This window comes from Homo sapiens, chromosome 11, assembly GCF_000001405.40.
Source record: "Homo sapiens chromosome 11, GRCh38.p14 Primary Assembly".
Classification (NCBI taxonomy): Eukaryota; Metazoa; Chordata; class Mammalia; order Primates; family Hominidae; genus Homo; species Homo sapiens.
Genome location: NC_000011.10, coordinates 89,164,552 through 89,184,105, shown reverse-complemented (window position 1 = coordinate 89,184,105; position 19,554 = coordinate 89,164,552). Strand labels below are relative to the sequence as shown.

The 19,554-nt window shown below is 35.9% G+C and overlaps 1 protein-coding gene across 2 annotated transcripts in view, besides 6 other annotated features; it reads right to left on the bottom strand.

Annotated features, from left to right (window-relative positions):
* TYR (tyrosinase) overlaps window positions 1-6,231 on the bottom strand; it is a 117,885-nt gene extending 111,654 nt beyond the window's left edge. For both annotated transcript variants that reach the window (XM_011542970.3, NM_000372.5), the window contains exon 1: window positions 5,334-6,231. In XM_011542970.3, the coding sequence (XP_011541272.1) occupies window positions 5,334-6,152 (819 nt within the window). In that variant the 5' untranslated portion in view covers window positions 6,153-6,231. The remainder of the gene's footprint in view (window positions 1-5,333) is intronic.
* Window positions 2,458-3,052: an enhancer, noted in NCBI's record as "OCT4-NANOG hESC enhancer chr11:88914222-88914816 (GRCh37/hg19 assembly coordinates)". NCBI's record gives its function as "activates a minimal SCP1, AML or CMV promoter by ChIP-STARR-seq in primed H9 embryonic stem cells {active_cell/tissue: H9 hESC(primed)}" and the evidence as "EXISTENCE:reporter gene assay evidence [ECO:0000049][PMID:30033119]".
* Window positions 14,861-16,921: an enhancer, noted in NCBI's record as "2061 bp h5'URS fragment". NCBI's record gives its function as "enhancer in melanocytes" and the evidence as "EXISTENCE:reporter gene assay evidence [ECO:0000049][PMID:14629727]".
* Window positions 15,216-15,555: a transcriptional cis regulatory region, noted in NCBI's record as "340 bp MfeI enhancer region homologous to the mouse LCR". NCBI's record gives its function as "necessary but not sufficient for enhancer activity" and the evidence as "EXISTENCE:reporter gene assay evidence [ECO:0000049][PMID:14629726]".
* Window positions 15,221-15,620: a DNaseI hypersensitive site, noted in NCBI's record as "melanocyte-specific; the nucleotide coordinates are approximate for this feature". NCBI's record gives the evidence for it as "EXISTENCE:in vivo cleavage assay evidence [ECO:0001075][PMID:14629726]".
* Window positions 15,539-15,580: a conserved region, noted in NCBI's record as "conserved region; Box B region, which is necessary for enhancer activity in the mouse ortholog". NCBI's record gives the evidence for it as "EXISTENCE:sequence alignment evidence [ECO:0000200][PMID:14629727]".
* Window positions 15,581-15,607: a conserved region, noted in NCBI's record as "conserved region; Box A region, which is necessary for enhancer activity in the mouse ortholog". NCBI's record gives the evidence for it as "EXISTENCE:sequence alignment evidence [ECO:0000200][PMID:14629727]".

Below are 19,554 nucleotides of genomic sequence, written 5' to 3'. Positions count from 1 at the left end.
AGGCAGGCTAGGAGAAATTATATTAGCATTGTGCTTATGATCATGAAGATTCTAGTCAGAAAGACCTGGTTTCCAATACTGACCCTATTAGTTACATGGCCTTGGGCAAGTTACTTAAGCTCTCTGGGTATTAAGTTTTTTCATCTGTAAATGGGAATTATACGTTTCTATCAATGATCAAATAATCTAACATGTATAAAGCACTTAGCATAGTGCCAAGTGTAAAGTGTTTAATAATGACAACTATCATAATTATTTTTGAAAACAAGACCATTGGGCAGGTCACCAAATTGTTTTTAACTTTGGGTGTATAACACTGTTTGAATATTCATTATTATATCTAACTTTGATGTATCATTTAAAAATATATTATTTCCACACATGAAACTCAAACAATAGGTCAGATCCTAAACAAGCCATATAAACACATCTTATTGAATCCCTTCACAGTAATGCTTTAACCTATATTATTCTAATTTTAGGGACAAAAATCGTCTCAGAATAATTAAGTAACTTAGGGTCTTGTAGCTAAGTAAGTATGAAAGTTCACTCAAATTCATGCTGATGTGACTGAAAAGACTATACTCTTTCCACTACATTATTCTGTTTCCCATTCCATTTAATCCTCCTATTAGCACACACACAAAACATGTATAGATGGTAATTCTACCTCATTTTTTTTCTCTTTGGAAAAAACAAAGGTCAAAGATTTTAAATAACTGGTCCAATGTCGTCTACTAAATGGCAGGGGTAGAATTTGAGCCTGGATGTTCTGATGATGACTCTGTTTTTTTTCTATTTCAACGCAAGTGATTTATAACATATGCTGGGGGGACGATCAAGTGTTCCAAGTCAAAGAAAAAAGGGGAGATAGAAGAAATAGATATATTAATGAGGAAGGTGAACCTAAATACTGTTCTCTTAAATTTAAAGAAATAGCAATAAACTGCCAGATATTAAAAGCTTTTGGGAGCAAAGATTTTGTTATAGCATTAGAGGTTTATCTGGGGGAAAAAATGTAAACCGTATGACATTCCACAAAATCTTTTTCATAAAGAAAAAAGAGAAGCTGTTATTTCACTGAGCTGTCGTCATGGTTACCTAAAACCCATGACTCTCTGCTGAAATGTGACTTTTTTTCTTCTCTTTGCTTCCATGTGATGTGCTTTTCACCTGATGAGTGAATTCCCTGGTCACAATTCACTCATGTGTATCAGCTAGGAAATGTTTTTTCCTCTTTGTTTCTGTTCATGATGACACCTATTCCTGATACCCCTTTTATTTTTGTAGCTAGCTGATCTGTTGGTTGCATAACATTAGATCTAATTATATTGAGCATGGGTAGTTTGTACTTAAATGTTATTAAGCAACCCTCCACCTCCAAATATAATGAACTATTTTAATTGATGATAAACATGGCCCCTAATTTAAAGCTTTGGGAGTTAAATAAATGAGCAAACAACAGACATGAATTAGGAACACAATATTTCCAAATAAATTAATTACCTGATTTTAACATATTTAACAGAAAACTCTGACCAATAAATATTAACTTCATTTAAATCACACTCAGCTATGTTGCACCTTGCTTCATCTTCTCTCTTGTATTGTCTTTCTTTGCATGCACACACGCAGACATACATATGGAACTACCAGAGAGAACGACACAAGATATATTATACCCAAATTTGAGTAAGTGGCTATTGTTGACATTGTTGTATCCTTGGCATTGGGAATCCAGTGCTATAAAAAAACTGCAGTGAATGGTCCTAGAAATCTACCCATGCAGAGTTTAATATTTTATGTATGTTAGCATTGGAGCTAACGTTTCTTTGATGTTAAATTCAGCATGTATTTATAAAGCCTGTTCCATGTGTATATTATAGTCCTGTGCTCTGTGGATACAAAAATATTTAGAAATGATCACCACCTTGGAGCGACTGACAGGCTGGCAGATACAGACAGGCTGGAAAACCACTACATGTAATGAAAAGTTACAAGTGCTATGATACAAATCTGTATAAAGTACAATGATAGCACAAAGACGGGGAGAGGGTCAACTCTACCTGAGTAACAGAGGTGGATCAGTAAAAGTCTCAGAATATTTTCATTATGATATAAATTAAAAGGACTACATCACTGTGTCTGCCTATGTTGTCTGGGGCAGGACAATTTTAAGGGAGTCAACGTGATCAAATGTCAAATTATACACCCAGAAATTAGCGGGTTACTTGACCCCTTCTGAACCTAAATGGATCCTTATAAACAAGAAATAACATTGTTGACTTAAAAAGCACTGCAGTCAGAGCCGCTTGGTTTTAGTCCTCAGATGTGTGACTTTGGACAATCATCCTACCATTTTAGGCTTTTCTATAGTTTTTTAATAAAATGCACAGGTTACCCTAAATAAAATTGAAGATCTCTCAGCTCAGAGTTAATAAATGCTATCAAATCTCTCAAATCTCAATTTTGGGGTCAAGTAAAATGATATCTGAAACCAATAAAAAAAGAAGGCTTTATGTGAAAGGTGCATCAGCCTAGCTAATTTGGAAGGTCTTAACTCAATCTAGAAACTATTTGATCTCATCTCACACAAATAGTCTAGTTCTTAATTTAAGCATTCAATTTGGACAAAGGCATTCAAATTAATGGTGTGTTTATTACAGAACATGCGTTTTTGTAAAGTGAAAGTAAAAAGATACCAAAACAATCTCCATTAACTCAATGATTCTCAGTGCTGGCTGCACATTAGAATCACAAAATGAGGGTTTAAAAATGCAAACACTTGAAGGCCCAGCTTGATGGCTCAGGCCTGCAATCCCAGCACTTTGGGAGTCTGAGGCGGACAGATCACTTGAGGTCAAGAGTTCAAGAGCAGCCTGGCCAACAGGGTGAAACCCCATCTCTACTAAAAGTACAAAAAATTAGCTGGGAGTGGTGGCAGGCCCCTGTAGTCCCAGCTACTAGGGAGACTGAGGCAGAAGAATCACTTGAACCTGGGAGGCGGAAGTTGCAGCGTATGGAGATTGCACCACTGCCAAAAAAAAAGACTCTTGAACTTTACAACCTCACAGGAGACCACCTGAATCTGAATTTCTGGCAAGAAATTAGGTGCATAAAAACCTTGCAACAGTTTTTTATTTTTACTTTTTAAATGGTTTTTTGGAAGCTTCCTAGGTGATTTTGACATTGAGAACTCTGAATTAAAGCAATGTAAGCAATCGATCTTAACTATTTTAAGGACTTTGTAACCAGAGAGGCTGTGTGAAGGAATGGAAACAGCCAATGTGAGTGGGGTTTGACTGTCACCTTTGCCACTAATAAGCCCTTGACACTACTAAAACATAGTAGGTGAGCAGCAAATGCTCATTTCACCTTTCTTAAACTGTGGTTTGCTTGTTTCTCTTCAGTCATCTTCCTTCCACTCTGTTTTCTAATTTTATTTTTGAAACCTGTTTCTACACAGCAATTTAATCATAGAACAAGGTTGAAGTTGATAATTGTATCAATTTCAGTTCAGGGCTTACTGACTTGACACACTTTTTTTTTTTTCTAGAGAGTATTAAAATTGAACACATTCATGAAGAGAGAAAAAGGAAAAAGTTCTGCTTGACAATTAATAAGTAATTAGGAAAATAATACTCATACAGTTGTGGATAGCATCTGGTATTACACATCTCATGTAATTAAAAATTAATGTGTATCTATCTATTAAGATTTCCTGTGGATGTTGCAGCTTATTTTGGTAATTTAGACAGTCCTCCAACCTTTCTGGGTCAAGTTAAGCCACATAGTTAAATAAAGCATCATAACTGACTGAAAATCCCATGTCCAATCCTGGCAGTTTTTTAAACAGGAACAGAGGATATAAGAGCTAGATGAGAGTTTGCACATTATAGATTAAGGTAGGAGGTCTGAAAGCTTATTGAAATAGATTTTTTTCCAAGCACATTTTTTCTAGCCTTTCCTGCACAAAACCCATTACATTTGGTAAATAGCTGACTAATAACACCAGAAATTATACAGTGGCTATTTTTTAAATGAACTTCAGTAGACTCCATTGGGATGGGGTACAAACTTGGTTGGGCGGAGAAGGCCATCTACATTTCAAAACTGCAGATTGTGGGAAATTGAGTGCAAGATTCTTCCCATCCCATTCACATATTGGGCTTAATTTCATAGAGCATTGCTAGTCAAAAGTGCTGTATTAGAAATTTTTGGAAGACAGGCAGAAAAGCATTCCTTTAACATATGGTTTTAAAATGATAAATAATTAAGCACATATTTCTTTGGTTACCATTTGCCCCTAATTCAGAATGAAAAATTCAGAATAGATGAAATAGGAATTCAATTCCAAATAGTAATGCTTCATATTTTATCTAAAGTTTTCAAGGACTGAGAAAGAAAGCTAACTTCTAATGCAGCCTAAAGAAAAAGTGAGACAGAATGAACCAGATCCTTTAGCTAAAGATATCACAGCAGTCACATCCTTGGAAATAGGATACAGTGGTCATACAGCTGGACTATTAGAGAATAAATGTGATTTTTTTTTTGCTGCTTATTAGCTGTATGATCTTATACAAGTTACCTGATACCTTTATAACCTCTAAAATAGGGAAAGACTGATAAGAGCATGAAATGAACGAATGCACAAAAACACTTGCCACGGGGTTTGCACATGCTAGATGTTCAATGAATATTAGCCATCTTCATTATTTACCTGTTTAAGCCTCAGGATCTTCATACTTTCAAAAATGAAGATCTAATCCAATAATTATTTCCCAAACATTCCTGATTAAAAGAATCACCATAGACATTTAGTAAATTGTGCCTTCTCGGGACTCTCTCCTGAAGATTCTGACCAATTAGTCTGGGATAAGGCCAGGAATTTGCATTTTTAATTTGTACACCATATGAATCCTGTTGTGAATAATAATTTTATTTTTCAGAGACATTAGTGTATATCATTTGTTTTTTTAATCATCCAGATATTCATTCATTCACTCATTTATTCAATTCACAAAATACATAATGCACTATTGCCATTTTTAAAGGCACCATACTATGTTCTGGGAAATGCAATAATGAATCAAGTACTCTGTTCATTGCAGTTTAGAAACCTAGTAGAAGTCATTAAACAAATAATTACACAAATATCTAAAGTGTGCTATAAAGGAAAAATACAAGATACATTGAGAGTTCTTAACAGGGCACCATTTCTGTCCTTGATGGGGGCTGCAATGAGTGTTCAGGTGAGAAGTTTATACCCTGCCTGAAGAAGTGATTGTTAAGGTTCCTCCCTACTCTGACATCGTATATCTAGCATATCTTACCTGCCAAGAGGAGAAGAATGATGCTGGGCTGAGTAAGTTAGGATTTGTGGGGTGCTGACCTCCCATGTACTCATCTGTGCAAATGTCACACTTTTCTGCATCCCGCCAGTCCCAATATGGAATAGTGAAGTTTTCATCTCCTGTCAGCTTCTGGATTTCTTGTTCCCACCGCAACAAGAAGAGTCTATGCCAAGGCAGAAAAGCTGGTGCTTCATGGGCAAAATCAATGTCTCTCCAGATTTCAGATCCCCCAAGCAGTGCATCCATTGACACATAATAATGCATCCAGACAAAGAGGTCATAAATATTGATGTCGTTAAACATGGGTGTTGATCCATTTTTCATTTGGCCATAGGTCCCTATGGGGATGACATAGTCTGAGCTGATGGTATGCTTTGCTAAAGTGAGGTAGGCAAAAAATTTGTCCTTCTCTGGGGCACTCAAATCGAAGATGTTTCTTCTCACCAAGAGTCGTCTCTCTGTGCAGTTTGGTCCCCAAAAGCCAAACTTGCAGTTTCCACAGTTGAATCCCATGAAGTTGCCAGAGCACTGGCAGGTCCTATTATAAAAGACGGAAGGCCACGACTCCCGGTCATCCACCCCTGTGAAGGGAAATTGAGGCCCAAGTGGTGCATTGGACAGAAGGATATTCTGACAGGAACCTCTGCCTGAAAGCTGGCCACAGGGACTCCTGTCCCCGCTCCACGGTGGACAGCATTCCTTCTCCATCAGGTTCTTAGAGGAGACACAGGCTCTAGGGAAATGGCCAGCGGAGGTCTGGAAACTCCACAGCAGGCAGTACAAAACAGCCAGGAGCATTCTTCCTCTAGTCCTCACAAGGTCTGCAGGAACTGGCTAATTGGAGTCACAGATTTCTCTTTCCAGCTACTACTACAGTGATTATCACATGTCTTGGCTGAGACCTATATAATACCACTCCCACCTCCAGCATCAAACACTTTTAGTCTTTATCTTAAGCTTTCATCCTCTGAAAAGCACATGACTGACTTTTCTTTCGAATTGGCTCGTATCCCACCAGTGGGATAGGCCTATGTTAAAGTGAAAAACTCTATTCACCATTAATAGTTTAATTCTTATGGTTAGAATATTAACAATAAGGTTAGTAATAATAATGCCTGACCTAAGCAAACCCAGTTAATAGACTACAAAACTAATGATGATTTGACCTTGCAAATGAGAGGTAGTGTCAGGAATAGAGCTTCTCTTATTAAGAAAGTTTAGGAAGTATTAAAGATTATGGGTTTAAGGTAGTTATTTCTCAGAGACCATAAAGAGGCTACAATGTTTGAAGAACTCAATATGCAGAGAGAGATTGTCTTCAGAGCCCAGACAGAATTCCTTATATGTTATTGAATTTCAGTTTGTTTATTTTATACAACGTATCAGAAAAAAAAATCTTTCTGATACTTTTCTCTGATAATCCTGATGCATTTTCTGACAACTCCTAAGGATAGCTCACTTTGATAACTGGGCGATTTGCTTCATTGTGGGGATATCTCACGTTAAAGAGCTCTCTCTCTCTCTCTCCCTCTCTCTCTCTTTCTCTCTCTCTCTCCCTCTCTCTCTCTCTCTCTCCCTCTCTCTCCCTCTCTCTCCCTCTCCCTCTCTCTCCCCTCTATCCTCTCTCTCTCTCCTCTGTCTCTCTCCTCTCTCTCTCTCCCCTCTATCCTCTCTCTCTCTCCTCTGTCTCTCTCCTCTCTCCTTTCTCTCTCTCTCCTTTCTCCTCTCTCCTTTCTCTCTCTCTCCAATGCTGTAGCCATATTGTTTTTCCTATCAATTCTAGAAATTAGGAATTTTTTTGAAAATGTTTTTGCAATGTGTTTTGTGCAAAGACATTCTCAATTAGTGAGTGAATGAAAAAGGAGAAATATATTTCTTCAGCAAATATTTTTGATCATCTCAATTATTTCAAAAGTTCCTTCTCTGTGTATAGTGAGCTAGGGAAACTGAAATTCATGGCTAAAAATACAACTTAACTATGTTAGTTTTCAAATGAGTAGTATAGATAATTAAGTCAAACTTTTAATGGAAGAGATGTATTTGTGGGCTGATATTAGAAAGAATTGCATAATTTTGATAATAATATGCAAGTGTTATCAAGGGAGTGCCTTGATTAATATCTCAAAGAGTGGGCATAAGTTGGACAGACAACTGAGAATATATACAACTCCTGAGACAGGGGAAATGTGTAGAGGTGGGAACTGTGTTTCATCTATCAAGTTGGAGCATTAAACTGAGGCCTCCACACATCATAGAAAATTAAACCTGGGACCAATCTATGGAGGGGCTTAAAGACTTTGTGTTTTGAACTAAAGTGAGCTCTTTTGTGAGCTGAAGAGTGACAAAAAGAGTAGTCAAATCAAAGTTGCCCCTCTGAAGCTTCCTTCTTTGTCCTCTTCCATACTTAAAGTTTGGGGGTCCACTGAAATTAATGAAAAAGTAAAAGAAAGTGAAAGCTTTGAGGAGATCATTAGTATTTGGGTCCTTAGCTGAAGCATTCTAGGAAAAGCCATCACTATTTCGATGATGCCGGAATGTCAGACTGCTCTGCTTTTTTCTCTTTTTCTGGAGTTTGTCTCATTATTTAAGAAAAAAAAAAGTCACGGCTCATCCAAACAACTTTTTTGAGACAGAACAGGCTTTGCAGGTACATGGAGCAGTGTGTGGGTGAAGAGGAAGAGAAGTTTCCATGGAAATGCTGCCTCTGGCTGGAATCAGGAAGTCATCACATGATCTCCACAAGGAGGCTTAATCTTTTCTCTCTCTCTTTCTTTCAGAGCCACAAAGAGATTAACACAAGACTTCTTGTCCCTGGGGAGCCTTGGGTCTGCATTACTTGTAACCACATGTGGCATTTCATAATTCTTTTCTATGTTCTCGAAGACAGAATTCAACTTATCATGTTCAATTTAATTAAGAATTTTGCCTTACACTTGCCCCACTATCAGGCTTCCAGTGAAATAACTTAGAAAGTCTTCATCATGCTCTTTAAGGGCTTTTGTGTCTGCTGTCCCGTCTATTTTTCATAATCTTTAGAGCCTGCTTAGAGGAATTACTAAAATGTACTTAGTCCTATTAATTTCCTTTACAGGGTTGATTTTCTTAAATAGGACAGACCTCTTTATTTGTCCCCAGTATAGGCCACTGTCTCCTCTGGCCTACACGTGTTGTAGTCTTCAGTCTTATTGCCAGTCTTGGGTTCCTAAATATTAAATCCCATTTAGAGTGCTTTCTTCCTGACTCTAGATGTACATTCTTTAGGTATCTTCAGTTGTGGGATTTGAAAGGGTCCTATCCTATTTTGGGAGATTATTGTATGACCTGACATGAAATTACTGCAATGCTCTATAAAGTAGAATTAGGGGTTCAGTAAATACTCTGCAAGTATTTACTTGCAGACATGGGGAGAGATGGGAATGTGATGGTAAGCACAACAAAAATCTCTATCATCAGGAAGGATATTGCCTCTTAAAATACTATTTTAATTTTAGTGATTTTAAATAATAATTTTAACTACATTACTTTAAATAACTTTTTTTCTGGATTAAATTACTTTTTAGGTTGCTATAAGAGAAAATTAAAGAGAGAAATTAGGGAACATGACAGAAGGGCCTTTCTAGTCTCACAAGAGAAGGGATAGTCAGGGATAATTTTATGGGAGAAGTGACATTTCAAGTGACACTTGAGGGATCACTAGAAGTCTGTTTGATGACAGAGAGAACAGTAGGAGTGTGAGCTTTCCAGGCAGAGAGAATAGCATGTGCAAAGTCTCCAAAGTGGAAGTAGGTTGGTATATTCAAGGGATTTAAGGACAGTTAAGGTGGCTGCAACCCCCAATATGGTAGAGGCGTGATATAAGAATGAAGGTGTGTGTATGGACCAGCTCATAGTCCATAAAGGCTTTGTAGCAAAATTTTGGGTAACGATACATGAATTTAAAACTTTTCACTCAAGCTACTGAGGTGAGAACAGATGTGGGGTGGGAGCTAGATTAAATGTGGAGATTACTGTTAGGATATTATTGATGTAAACCAGGCAAACATGACATTGCTTAGACTAGAGTAATGATCTCTGAGATGGGCATAAGTTAATGAATTTGAGAGATACATAGGTGATAAATTCAAGAGCAGTAAGAAGTGAAGGGAAAGAAGATTTAGGGCTATGTGCTAGGTTTTTGGCTTGTGCCATTAACTAAAATAAGAAACAATAGAGGATAAATGTTTATGGGAATTGAATATAGGCTCAATTTTAGATAAGTTGAGTTTGAGTATCAACTAGCCACAATCACTGGTCCTCTACTTCTGGTATTTGTATAGATTATTCAGCCACTCACTTGTGTTAACCTGGTCAATTTTCCTCATTTTCCTCACTCAGATCACTGGTATTTGCTCTTTTATTTGGTAGTAGTTTGAATCCATTTTCTGTCTTTGTTTCTCAGCCCTCCTTTCAATTATAATGGTAGCTACCATTTATTAAATACAACTAATATAATTATCTCAGTATCAGTAGCTACCATTTAAAGAAAAAAATTTACTGTGGAAAGAAATATGCTCAAATCAGTAAAAAATAATATAATAAACTAGCATTTACTTACCTCCAAGTTTCAACATCCAGCATTTTTCTGTTTTGTTTCTACTAGTTTAAAAATTCTGGAATGTTTTAAAACAAAACTCAGATAGCATATTCTACCTCTAATTTCGGTATATATTGCTAACAATTAAGAACATAAAAACAAAACCACGTATCTTACACAAACACATCTCAAACAAAAAGAACAATAATTCTTTAATATCAGGTATCAAATTTATGGTTAATTTACTTTAATTATCTCAAAAGTATTTTTGTCAAGATTCAAACAGGTATATACACTGCATTTTGGTTGATCTATTTTATCAATTTCTATTAAGTTATAAGTTTCCTTTTTTAAAAAAAAATGCGGCCGGGCGCGGTGGCTCACGCCTGTAATCCCAGCACTTTGGGAGGCCGAGGCGGGCGGATCACGAGGTCAGGAGATCGAGACCATCCCGGCTAAAACGGTGAAACCCCGTCTCTACTAAAAATACAAAAAATTAGCCGGGCGTAGTGGCGGGCGCCTGTAGTCCCAGCTACTTGGGAGGCTGAGGCAGGAGAATGGCGTGAACCCGGGAGGCGGAGCTTGCAGTGAGCCGAGATCCCGCCACTGCACTCCAGCCTGGACGACAGAGCGAGACTCCGTCTCAAAAAAAAAAAAAAAAAAAAAAAAAATGCAATTTATTTTTAGAGGAAACTGAGTTTTTGCCCTAAGGATTTCTCACATTTCGGGGTTAACAACTTTTATCTCTATGAATTTAACATGCTCATTATCCTGTATTTTCTATCATTTTATACATTTTCAATAATAATATCTTGCATTTTCTACAATCAGGGAGTTAGATCTAGAGATTTTATTATATACAAGTTGAATTTTGTTATTGCTTTTCTTAACAATTACTTCACAGGCATTGTTAAGTAATACTTATTTTGATATACTAGAGGACCATATTATCTGGTTTTCTCAGTATTTGTTTTTAAAATTTATCAGCAGCTTGAAGTGATGTCAGACTGTCCTTTCAATTACATAATTCTCTAGCAAACTTTTATATGGTTTTATTTTCACTGATAAGTATATCCTACATTTGGTATTTTATTAAAGGTTGCAAGAATGGTTATCCCCTTTTTTTTGTAAAGAATAACTTTCTTCATGAACTATTTAGTTACCCTGTACAAGAAAAGCGGGGTAAATGTTTGATTCTTGTCCTTCATTTTTCAATTTTCAGAATAATAATGTGGCTACCTAACAACCTCTAAACATGATATATTTTTAACTGTAGTGAAGACTTCTAAAGTTTTGTGTATTTAGTGCATTTCTTTTGGGAGACAAATTGATGCATTTGTGTTCAATATTTTGCTAATTAGTGGATATTAGTCAACCTACATTATGATTTGTGAGTCAATGATCATTATGATTATATTTGTGTGTGCACGTTTGAAGTTCAAGAAAAAAATATGTAGCCATCATCTCTTTATATTTGAAGTTTACACTCACTCATTTGTTCAATAAATATTGAACATCTATTATTCCTAACACCTTATGGTAAATACCTGGGGCATAAACAAATTGTATAAGTCACTGACCCTTAATTTGATGTTATGAAGTCAGAATCTCTGATGTAATATCCAAGGACTGCCAGTTATTAGTCTCAGGCCCCATGGCAAGAGAAAAGGAGGAAGAGAATCAGCATATACTTAAGATTTGTTCAGTAATTTCACTTATCACAACCTGAGTGTTCTCAACTCTACTAGACAGGACTATTTGGAGTTTCAAATAATTTAATAGATATTAAACATTCAATATAAGGTCTGACACATATTAAGTACTTAATAAATGTTCACCATTTTCATTAAAGACCATAAATTGGTGCTGTTAGTGTTTATCACTATAATGCTTTCAATACTTTTAGGCTATTTTTGGTCTAGAGAGCTAGGGAATAAGTATTTTATTGGATATAATTAAATATCATTGTTTTAAATTGGTCTCTCCTTCTCATGTTAGCAACCTCAATTGCCTTTTTTTCTCCAATTAAAACCTTGTTCCTTAGGATACTGAAGTTCTGCAATAACACTGAGATGTCATACTTCTGTAGAATTTAGAAATTAGCACATGTTCTTTCTCTTAACAAACAATGTTTTTCTCTTTTATTCACTTGCATAATTTCTACACATACTGTAAGATACATCTCAGGTGTCATAGCTTCAAGAAAGCATTTTCTGATCTACAGACCTTCTCTGAGGATAAGCTGGAGGACTATCTTGCATTTTCTCATTCTACCCTCAATTAACCTTTGTCATTGCACTCACCACAATGCATAAAATCTACTGATATTTCTCATGCCCTTTCTATATCATGAATCCTTTAAGAGTAAAAATGTGATTCACACCAAATGCCTAGAACATTGCATGTTAAAAAATATCTTAGGAGATGGAGAATGGATGGATGAGTGAATTAACAGTTCAATTTCTTCTTTTGTTTTCCTTATTTTGTAAAATACATGTTCTAAAATATTTCAAACATGCAGAAAAACATAAACAATAAGCACTCATGAATTCATTACTTATTTAATAAATTTTAAAATTTTAGACTAATGGATGCACTTTTAAGATCACATAGTATCATTTCGGACACACGAAAAATAAAGCTAGAGGAGGAAAGGTAAAAGTATGAATGAGACTAGCTCTTACATTGAATGAAGTGTCATGCAGGGCAGAACCCATCCATACATTCAGCATAGAGCAGAGAAGATGAGAAGGCCTAATATGAGAAGAGACTCACAGAACAGAATTAGGGATGAATTATACCAGAATCTTGGTAGAAGTCTAGCTAGAAGGAGGAGACAAGTGTTTACCTAGGATTTATTCAACTGTCATTTTCATTCCACATTATTTATTGGATGTCTACTTTGAGATGGGCATTTTGCATGCATTTTTTTCTGATTCAGTCTTCAAAACAAGACTGTGAGGTACATATTGTATCCCTTTATAGTTAAATAACCTGATGTTTATGCTTAAGATTAAGCAACTACTAAACTGCAGAGCCATGTCTTTCTGCGTACTTCCATGTCTCACAGATATTTTCATTGTGTTATCTTCCATGCTAATGTTAGTTTTACTTGCTGATTGCATTTGGACTATACTAATCCTGCTTCTAGTTTTAGACTTCATACTTTTCATGTTCTATATTCTCATATCTGTTCTGAATGTCAGCTTTAGTTACTTGGCTACATTTTTGATAGGCTTCTAGAATACAGATGTGTCTTTAGCCACCCTCTGCTCCAGTTTCAAAGTGTTCTTTGTAAGTGACACAACCTCAATCATGCACTAAAGCTCCTCCTAAAACTGATCCTCATAGGTTGTTGAAGTGTTAAGAAAATTGTGGTCGCCACAATGTTGAATGACTTATATTTTTTTTTTGCTTCAGTTGAACTGTCTATAATTATTTTAATGGCAGAGGGTATTGATCTCTGGGAAGCCAATTTCCTGATTACATATATTCTACTACATGCAGAACTAGTTTTACTATCACTTAATGCCTATACCACTTGTAATTAAAATCTATTAAAATTATTTAAATAGCATTACCAAAGAGCAAAATATGCTTTATAAGAACAGCAAGAATAATCTAAGACACGTTATGGAGAAAATGGGCTAGCAGGAAAATATAACTGTAGAGTTGAAGAATGGCTGCTGAGAGACAGCACAACCTCGGATGAATTCAGAACAGAACTAGCTGATGAACCAAAATGTAGAACTAAAATGTACAACCTTCACAAGTTTAAAAAACCAACTCATTTTAATGTCAATAAACTGTACAGATCCTCTAGGAGAAAGCACATGGCTTTCAATATTTATTGAATATAAATAATGACACAAACTGTCAGTAAAGTAATTCTCTTATCTCAGAGCTCAGAACATGATACCCCCAAAGGATGACTTCCTGGTGTGCTGAGTATTTTCAGCTGAAGGAGATTGGGAGTGCCACAGAAACAAGAAGGTCTCTCTGCCCTTCCCCTGGCCTCTTTTTCTCCCTCGAAGTGGGTCATAGAATCCAGAACTCCCCAAAGCAAGCCATAAGACCTGGGAAGGTCATTCTCTGACCTCCTTCCTTTTCCCCAGAGGACCTTCATGTGACAGGTGGGTCGTCAGGGGGAGAAGGCCTTGCTTGTTTAGATTCTTCTTTACCCCAGGGGCCTAATTCTGAGCATTACAATCTCTGTATCATAGAGATAATTAGACATTCAGGCACAGTAGGAGTTGCTTAGGCATAGACAAAGGACAACAGGTTTTGAGTAGACAATCAGAAATTGTGAATTGTGATAGGGACTCAGATTTCGGAAGAAGTAGTTTCAACTCTCAAAAGTTTAAAATTTCTAACAAATTAGCAAAATTAACATACCTCCTATGATGAAAAGAAAATAATCTCAGTGATTAAGCTTCAAGTGATATCTTTTCAAATAGATGCACCAAATATTGTTACGCAAGTCAGTGGTTGAAAAGCATATTTACCTAAATTATCAATATCATGCTTATTTCTCACTCACCTTTCTCCAAATACTTACATAAATTGCCAAACTAAGTTTGGGTTTACAGAGATATTTACCTGTTAAATTAAGTTTAGCTTAATGCTGCCTCCTTACATATTTTAAGTTCAGCCTAAAGGTATCTCCCTACAGGTAAACTGAAACCTAACTGGATGTGTAAACAGACTGTAATCTACTCTTATGCTAAACACCATGTTTTGGCCAATCAAAGGTGGCCAACTGTTCAAACCGTGTTCAAATAAGGCAAATGCCAAGCTATAACCAATTGAGCTGTTTCTGTATCTCACTTCCATTTCCCATACTTCACTTTCCATTTTCTGTGGCTGTACTGGAGTCTCTCTGAGCCTTCTCTGGCTCAGGAGGCTACCTGATTTACAAATTCATTCTTTGCTCAATAAAACTTTTAAGTATAATTTGCCTAAATTTGTCTTTTAACATACCTGATGTCAACTTGTGTGCCTCCCTTAGAGTTCAGCCTGCCCTGCCTATCCTCCTAAGCTTATTTAATGTGGCGCTTAACCTGATGGCCTGTTGATTGCTCACAAGATTAATTTGCCCTGAAACATTCCTTTTCATCATCTCACACTCTTATTTCTGAACAAATTTACAACCATTATAGAAAACATTTATTTAGACACCCAGTATGAAGTACCACATCCAGAGTTCAGATAAAATATGAGGCAGTGACTATTTTTAAGGTGTCAGAACAATATGCATTACTTCCCTTCCTTCATTTAATCAAACAATTGTTTATTTAATGTTAATTTTTGTGCCAAGCCATGTGCACGACAACAGACGATAACAGTGACAGATGAGCATGGTCCTTGTCCTGGAGTAGTTCACAGCCTGGTAAGGAAGTCAGAGAAATCAAGAGACAATTTCAGGACAGTTTATTAAGTGCATATTGTTCAAAATATGGAATGTGGTATCAGTCAGGGCCCTGGCAGGAAACAGCTGACGCACTGAAGCTGTTTTTTTGAGAAGGGCTTAACAAAGAGACTATTTACAATTTTGGGAGTAGGGTTTAAGGAATCAAACAAGTAATCACGCAGTACACTGGGAATGAAGGGCAAGGGCAATGAACAATTGAACTGGAACACAGAGAAGATCACTGTATCGACTGAGCCTGCTGGCAGGATCTGTGGCCTTACAGAAGGATGCAGGCAACCACTGTCTACATGGCAAAGAGAGATTTGAGAACTAAATATCCTGACCACAGAAGTCACTTTCTTCTGCCCTCTGATCTTCTAGTCATGCACCTCTGGGGATGAAGCCAAGCTCAAGCCAGAGGAGCAAGAAGCCTACTGATGCAATTCTTACAAGTCAGCCTCATGGGGCCCAGAACAAGGTGGAGAAGGGAAAAGAATAGGTCCAGGGGGCTAGAGGAATAATATCTAACACAAATGCCTACTCTATGCTTTTTATATAATGTTATTCATCTTTACAACTACCCTGTAGGAAATGGTTATTTTAATTTTGCAAATGAAGAAAATGAGGTTCACAAAGTTTAAGCAACTTACTCGAGGGCATGCAACTAGTAACTGGTGGATTCAGGGTTTGAACTCACCAGTGTGGCTACATCTCCAGGTCTGTGTATTGAGATTTACGTGTAGGAAATGATGGGACCACAAGAGAAACATGTAGCCCATACTATCTGCAAATGGGCCAAGGGAGGCAAGATTGCTATGAAAGACTTCCTAGAGAGAGATGATGCCTGAACTGAGCTTGAAAGAAGATTGGTGTAAGAAAATAGAGAGGAAAAAAGGGACAGAAACTGTTGCCCAGGTAAAGGGGGCAGCCAAATATAGAGATGACATATTCTTTTAGGACTTCAAGTAGCTGATTATGTTTGAAACAGAGAGGGCAGAAGTAATGAGAAAATATGATCTCTATAGTAGCATTGTGAAAAATTAACATAATTTAGGGACATTTAGATGAGTTAAAGATTGTATGGTTTATGTCTCACTGTGTGTACATATTAAGGTTCATAGGAACAAATGAATAGGATTATTTTAGGTGAAAATAAGGGAGATAGAAAGATTTTTATAACAAAGACATAATGTGCTTGCTTATTACTGAAACCCATCTTTTTCACCATTGGCCCTCAATTTATCACTTTTGAGGTCTATGCCAACAATTTACAGAAGTTTTATAAAATGTATAACTGTTACTGCTGCATACAATATAATTTGTGCCATTGATGTGGCTCACAGCTTCATCATAAATCCTGCATATGTAAAAATGTCAATCAATAATGCAAGGCTACAAAGATATTATGAAGACTTCTAGAAATTCTATAATAGTACATTTGTTATAGTGTGGTCCCCATATCACTTACATATAAACTCTACTTTTTTTGTCAAACATGCCTCTTTTATCCTATGGCCAAAAATACAGCCTTTTATCTAGGGACAATCATGATACATAGAAATATCAAGGAAACAAACACACACAAAAATGGCCCTTGAAACAAAATAGATCATCATACAAAACTAAAGTTTTGTCTTATATAAACCATCAATTTCATTTGTTCCTCAGTTTCTCTTTAAGTAAAATAGGGACAGTAAAATCACCTCATAGCATTACTGTTAGAATTAGATAATGTCTTCATAAAAGAAAGCTTCTACTTCCCAGATCCCCAAATAGTCTATATACTTCACTTCATATTTTATACATCTCCTTTCTGGAGGACATGCCATTACTTGACTTAGGAAGGACAGGGAAAACAAACAGATGTGGAATCCTATTTCTTTGAAGAATGCCATTGGTATTTTTATGGGATTGGTAGTATTGACATTTTAACGATATTAATTGGAATATTATTCTAATCCATGACATGGGATATCTTTCCAGCTTTTTGTGTTCTCTTCAATTTCTTTCGTTGGTGTTTTACAGTTTTTTTTGCAGAGCTCTTTTAACTTCATAGATTAAATTTGTTTCTAAATATTTTTTATTTTTGAAGTTATTGTTAATGAAGTTGATATCTTGATTCTTTTTCAGATGTTCACCGTTGACATATATAAATTATACTGATTTTTGTATGTTGATTTGGTATATAGTCACTTTTGTGAATTAGTTCATAAGGTCTAACAGTTTTTTAGTGGAGTCCTTAGGTTTTTCTAAATCTAAGATCCTGTCATCTTCAAACAAGAGAGGTTGATTAATGGATTAAAAAAACAGGTAGAAGAAATAAAATCTAGTGTTCCATAGTTCAGTGTGGTGAATAGAGTTAACAATAACTATTATATATGTTAAAATAGCTGGAAGAGAAAAATTTGAATGTTCCCAGCATAAAGATAAATGTTTGGGGTGACATATATCCCAATTTACCTGATATGATCATTACACATTATATGAACCTATAAAAAGGTCACGTGTACCCTGAAAACATGTACATCTATTATATATTAAAACAATTGAATTTTAAAGATATAGAATCAAACTGTATCCAGTTTTCTTCTTATAGTAGCATTTCTAAAAAAAGTTAGGTAATGAATATAAAAGAATATACAGAATTTTGAATTATGAACTCTTTTTCCATCACCCGTTGTATCAATTAATTAGTAATCTATATTTGTGCTACTAAGATTCTATATTATTTTTATTTTATATGCTAGGAAAACAGGCTGAGGGATTAAGAAACTTTTTCTTGATCCTTTGAGAGTTTCATAGTTGTAACTAAATTCCCAGGCCTAGAATTCTCAATTCATTTCGATCCCTTAATCCCCTAAGGATCTCACATTTGTAAAGTCTTTTATATCATCAGATGAAAATTGCTACTGTACAGGAAGACATATTTATATCATATGATCAATGGCACTGAGAAATAGAGAAAACATGTTTCATACCATAAGAAAGCAACTCTGATGTAGTATGAACTTTTTGCCTTGTGTCAGTGTAGAAGAAGCTGGAGAGCAGGCAAATGCCCTCACATCTCATTTATTTTATGATGGAGGTCTGGGTAAAGAGAAACTGGGGAAAAATCCAGGTTTCAACATCTACATTCACTGTCCATCTGTCCAGAGAAGCAAGAACTCCTACCCACATCATGTTACATACAACTTCAGTTCCTCCCAATAACTATAAAACCAACCTGCTTCCCATCTTTTCCTCTGTCAAGAGATGATAGTTTATTATAAAATAGGAATATATGAAGCACTGATATACTTCTATGCGTTCAGATATACTTTTATGCTAACTGTATGACTCAGTTTCACTTTGTTGAGGTATAATGATTAAATACAAAGCTTTAAAAAAGGCTAAAGTGTACATAGGGTGAACTAAGGAAATCAGGGCTATTTCAGAATGACACAAAGGGAGGCTTTTCTTTGATTTCACAGCCTAGGCCCTACCTCAAAGTTAGGCTACCTTGTCAAAGCTGTTATTTAATGCTTTTGAATTTTTCCATCCAAGAGCTGGCTAGCAGACTTATTTTCTTCATAAAAGTTATACAATCTTCTTTTAGCAGCTACATTACGAATGCGTAAGAGAAGCTATCAGATATAAGCTTATGGTTATTAAACTCCTTGGAATTCATGTGATTCTTTCTTGTTCTAGATTATAAATATAATATATATTTACAGAAACATGATCCAGAGAGAAAACTGGTCCAGACTCTCACCATTTAAAATAAATTTAGCTTCTGGAAAAATATTTAAATAAACATTAATTATTGAAAATCAAATAAGAAAAAAATTATTGGTTCTGGAAATGAATTAAATTAAAGCCAGTGCATTAATCTTTCAATCTGATGCACTTAGTTTCTAGGAGGTTAATAATCCAGATATAGACTCTTCATGTTGGGATATGAGACTTTAACGCTTATCAGGAGATTTGGTCCTAGGCATGTAAGAAAAGGAGAGCTGAAATAGAAAACCTTGCATAAACTTGGCAATGTAAAAAGGCTGCTCTTACAGGAAGAGTTAGATGGGAAAAACATCCACCAGAAGAGGAAAGTTACAGCCGCAAATGATATAAACTTTTATAGAGTCATAGAACCTGAGCTCACAATTTAAGACATGGTGAAGCCCCATCTCTACTAAAAATACAAAAAGTAGCTGGGCATGGTGGCTCATGCCTGTAGTCCC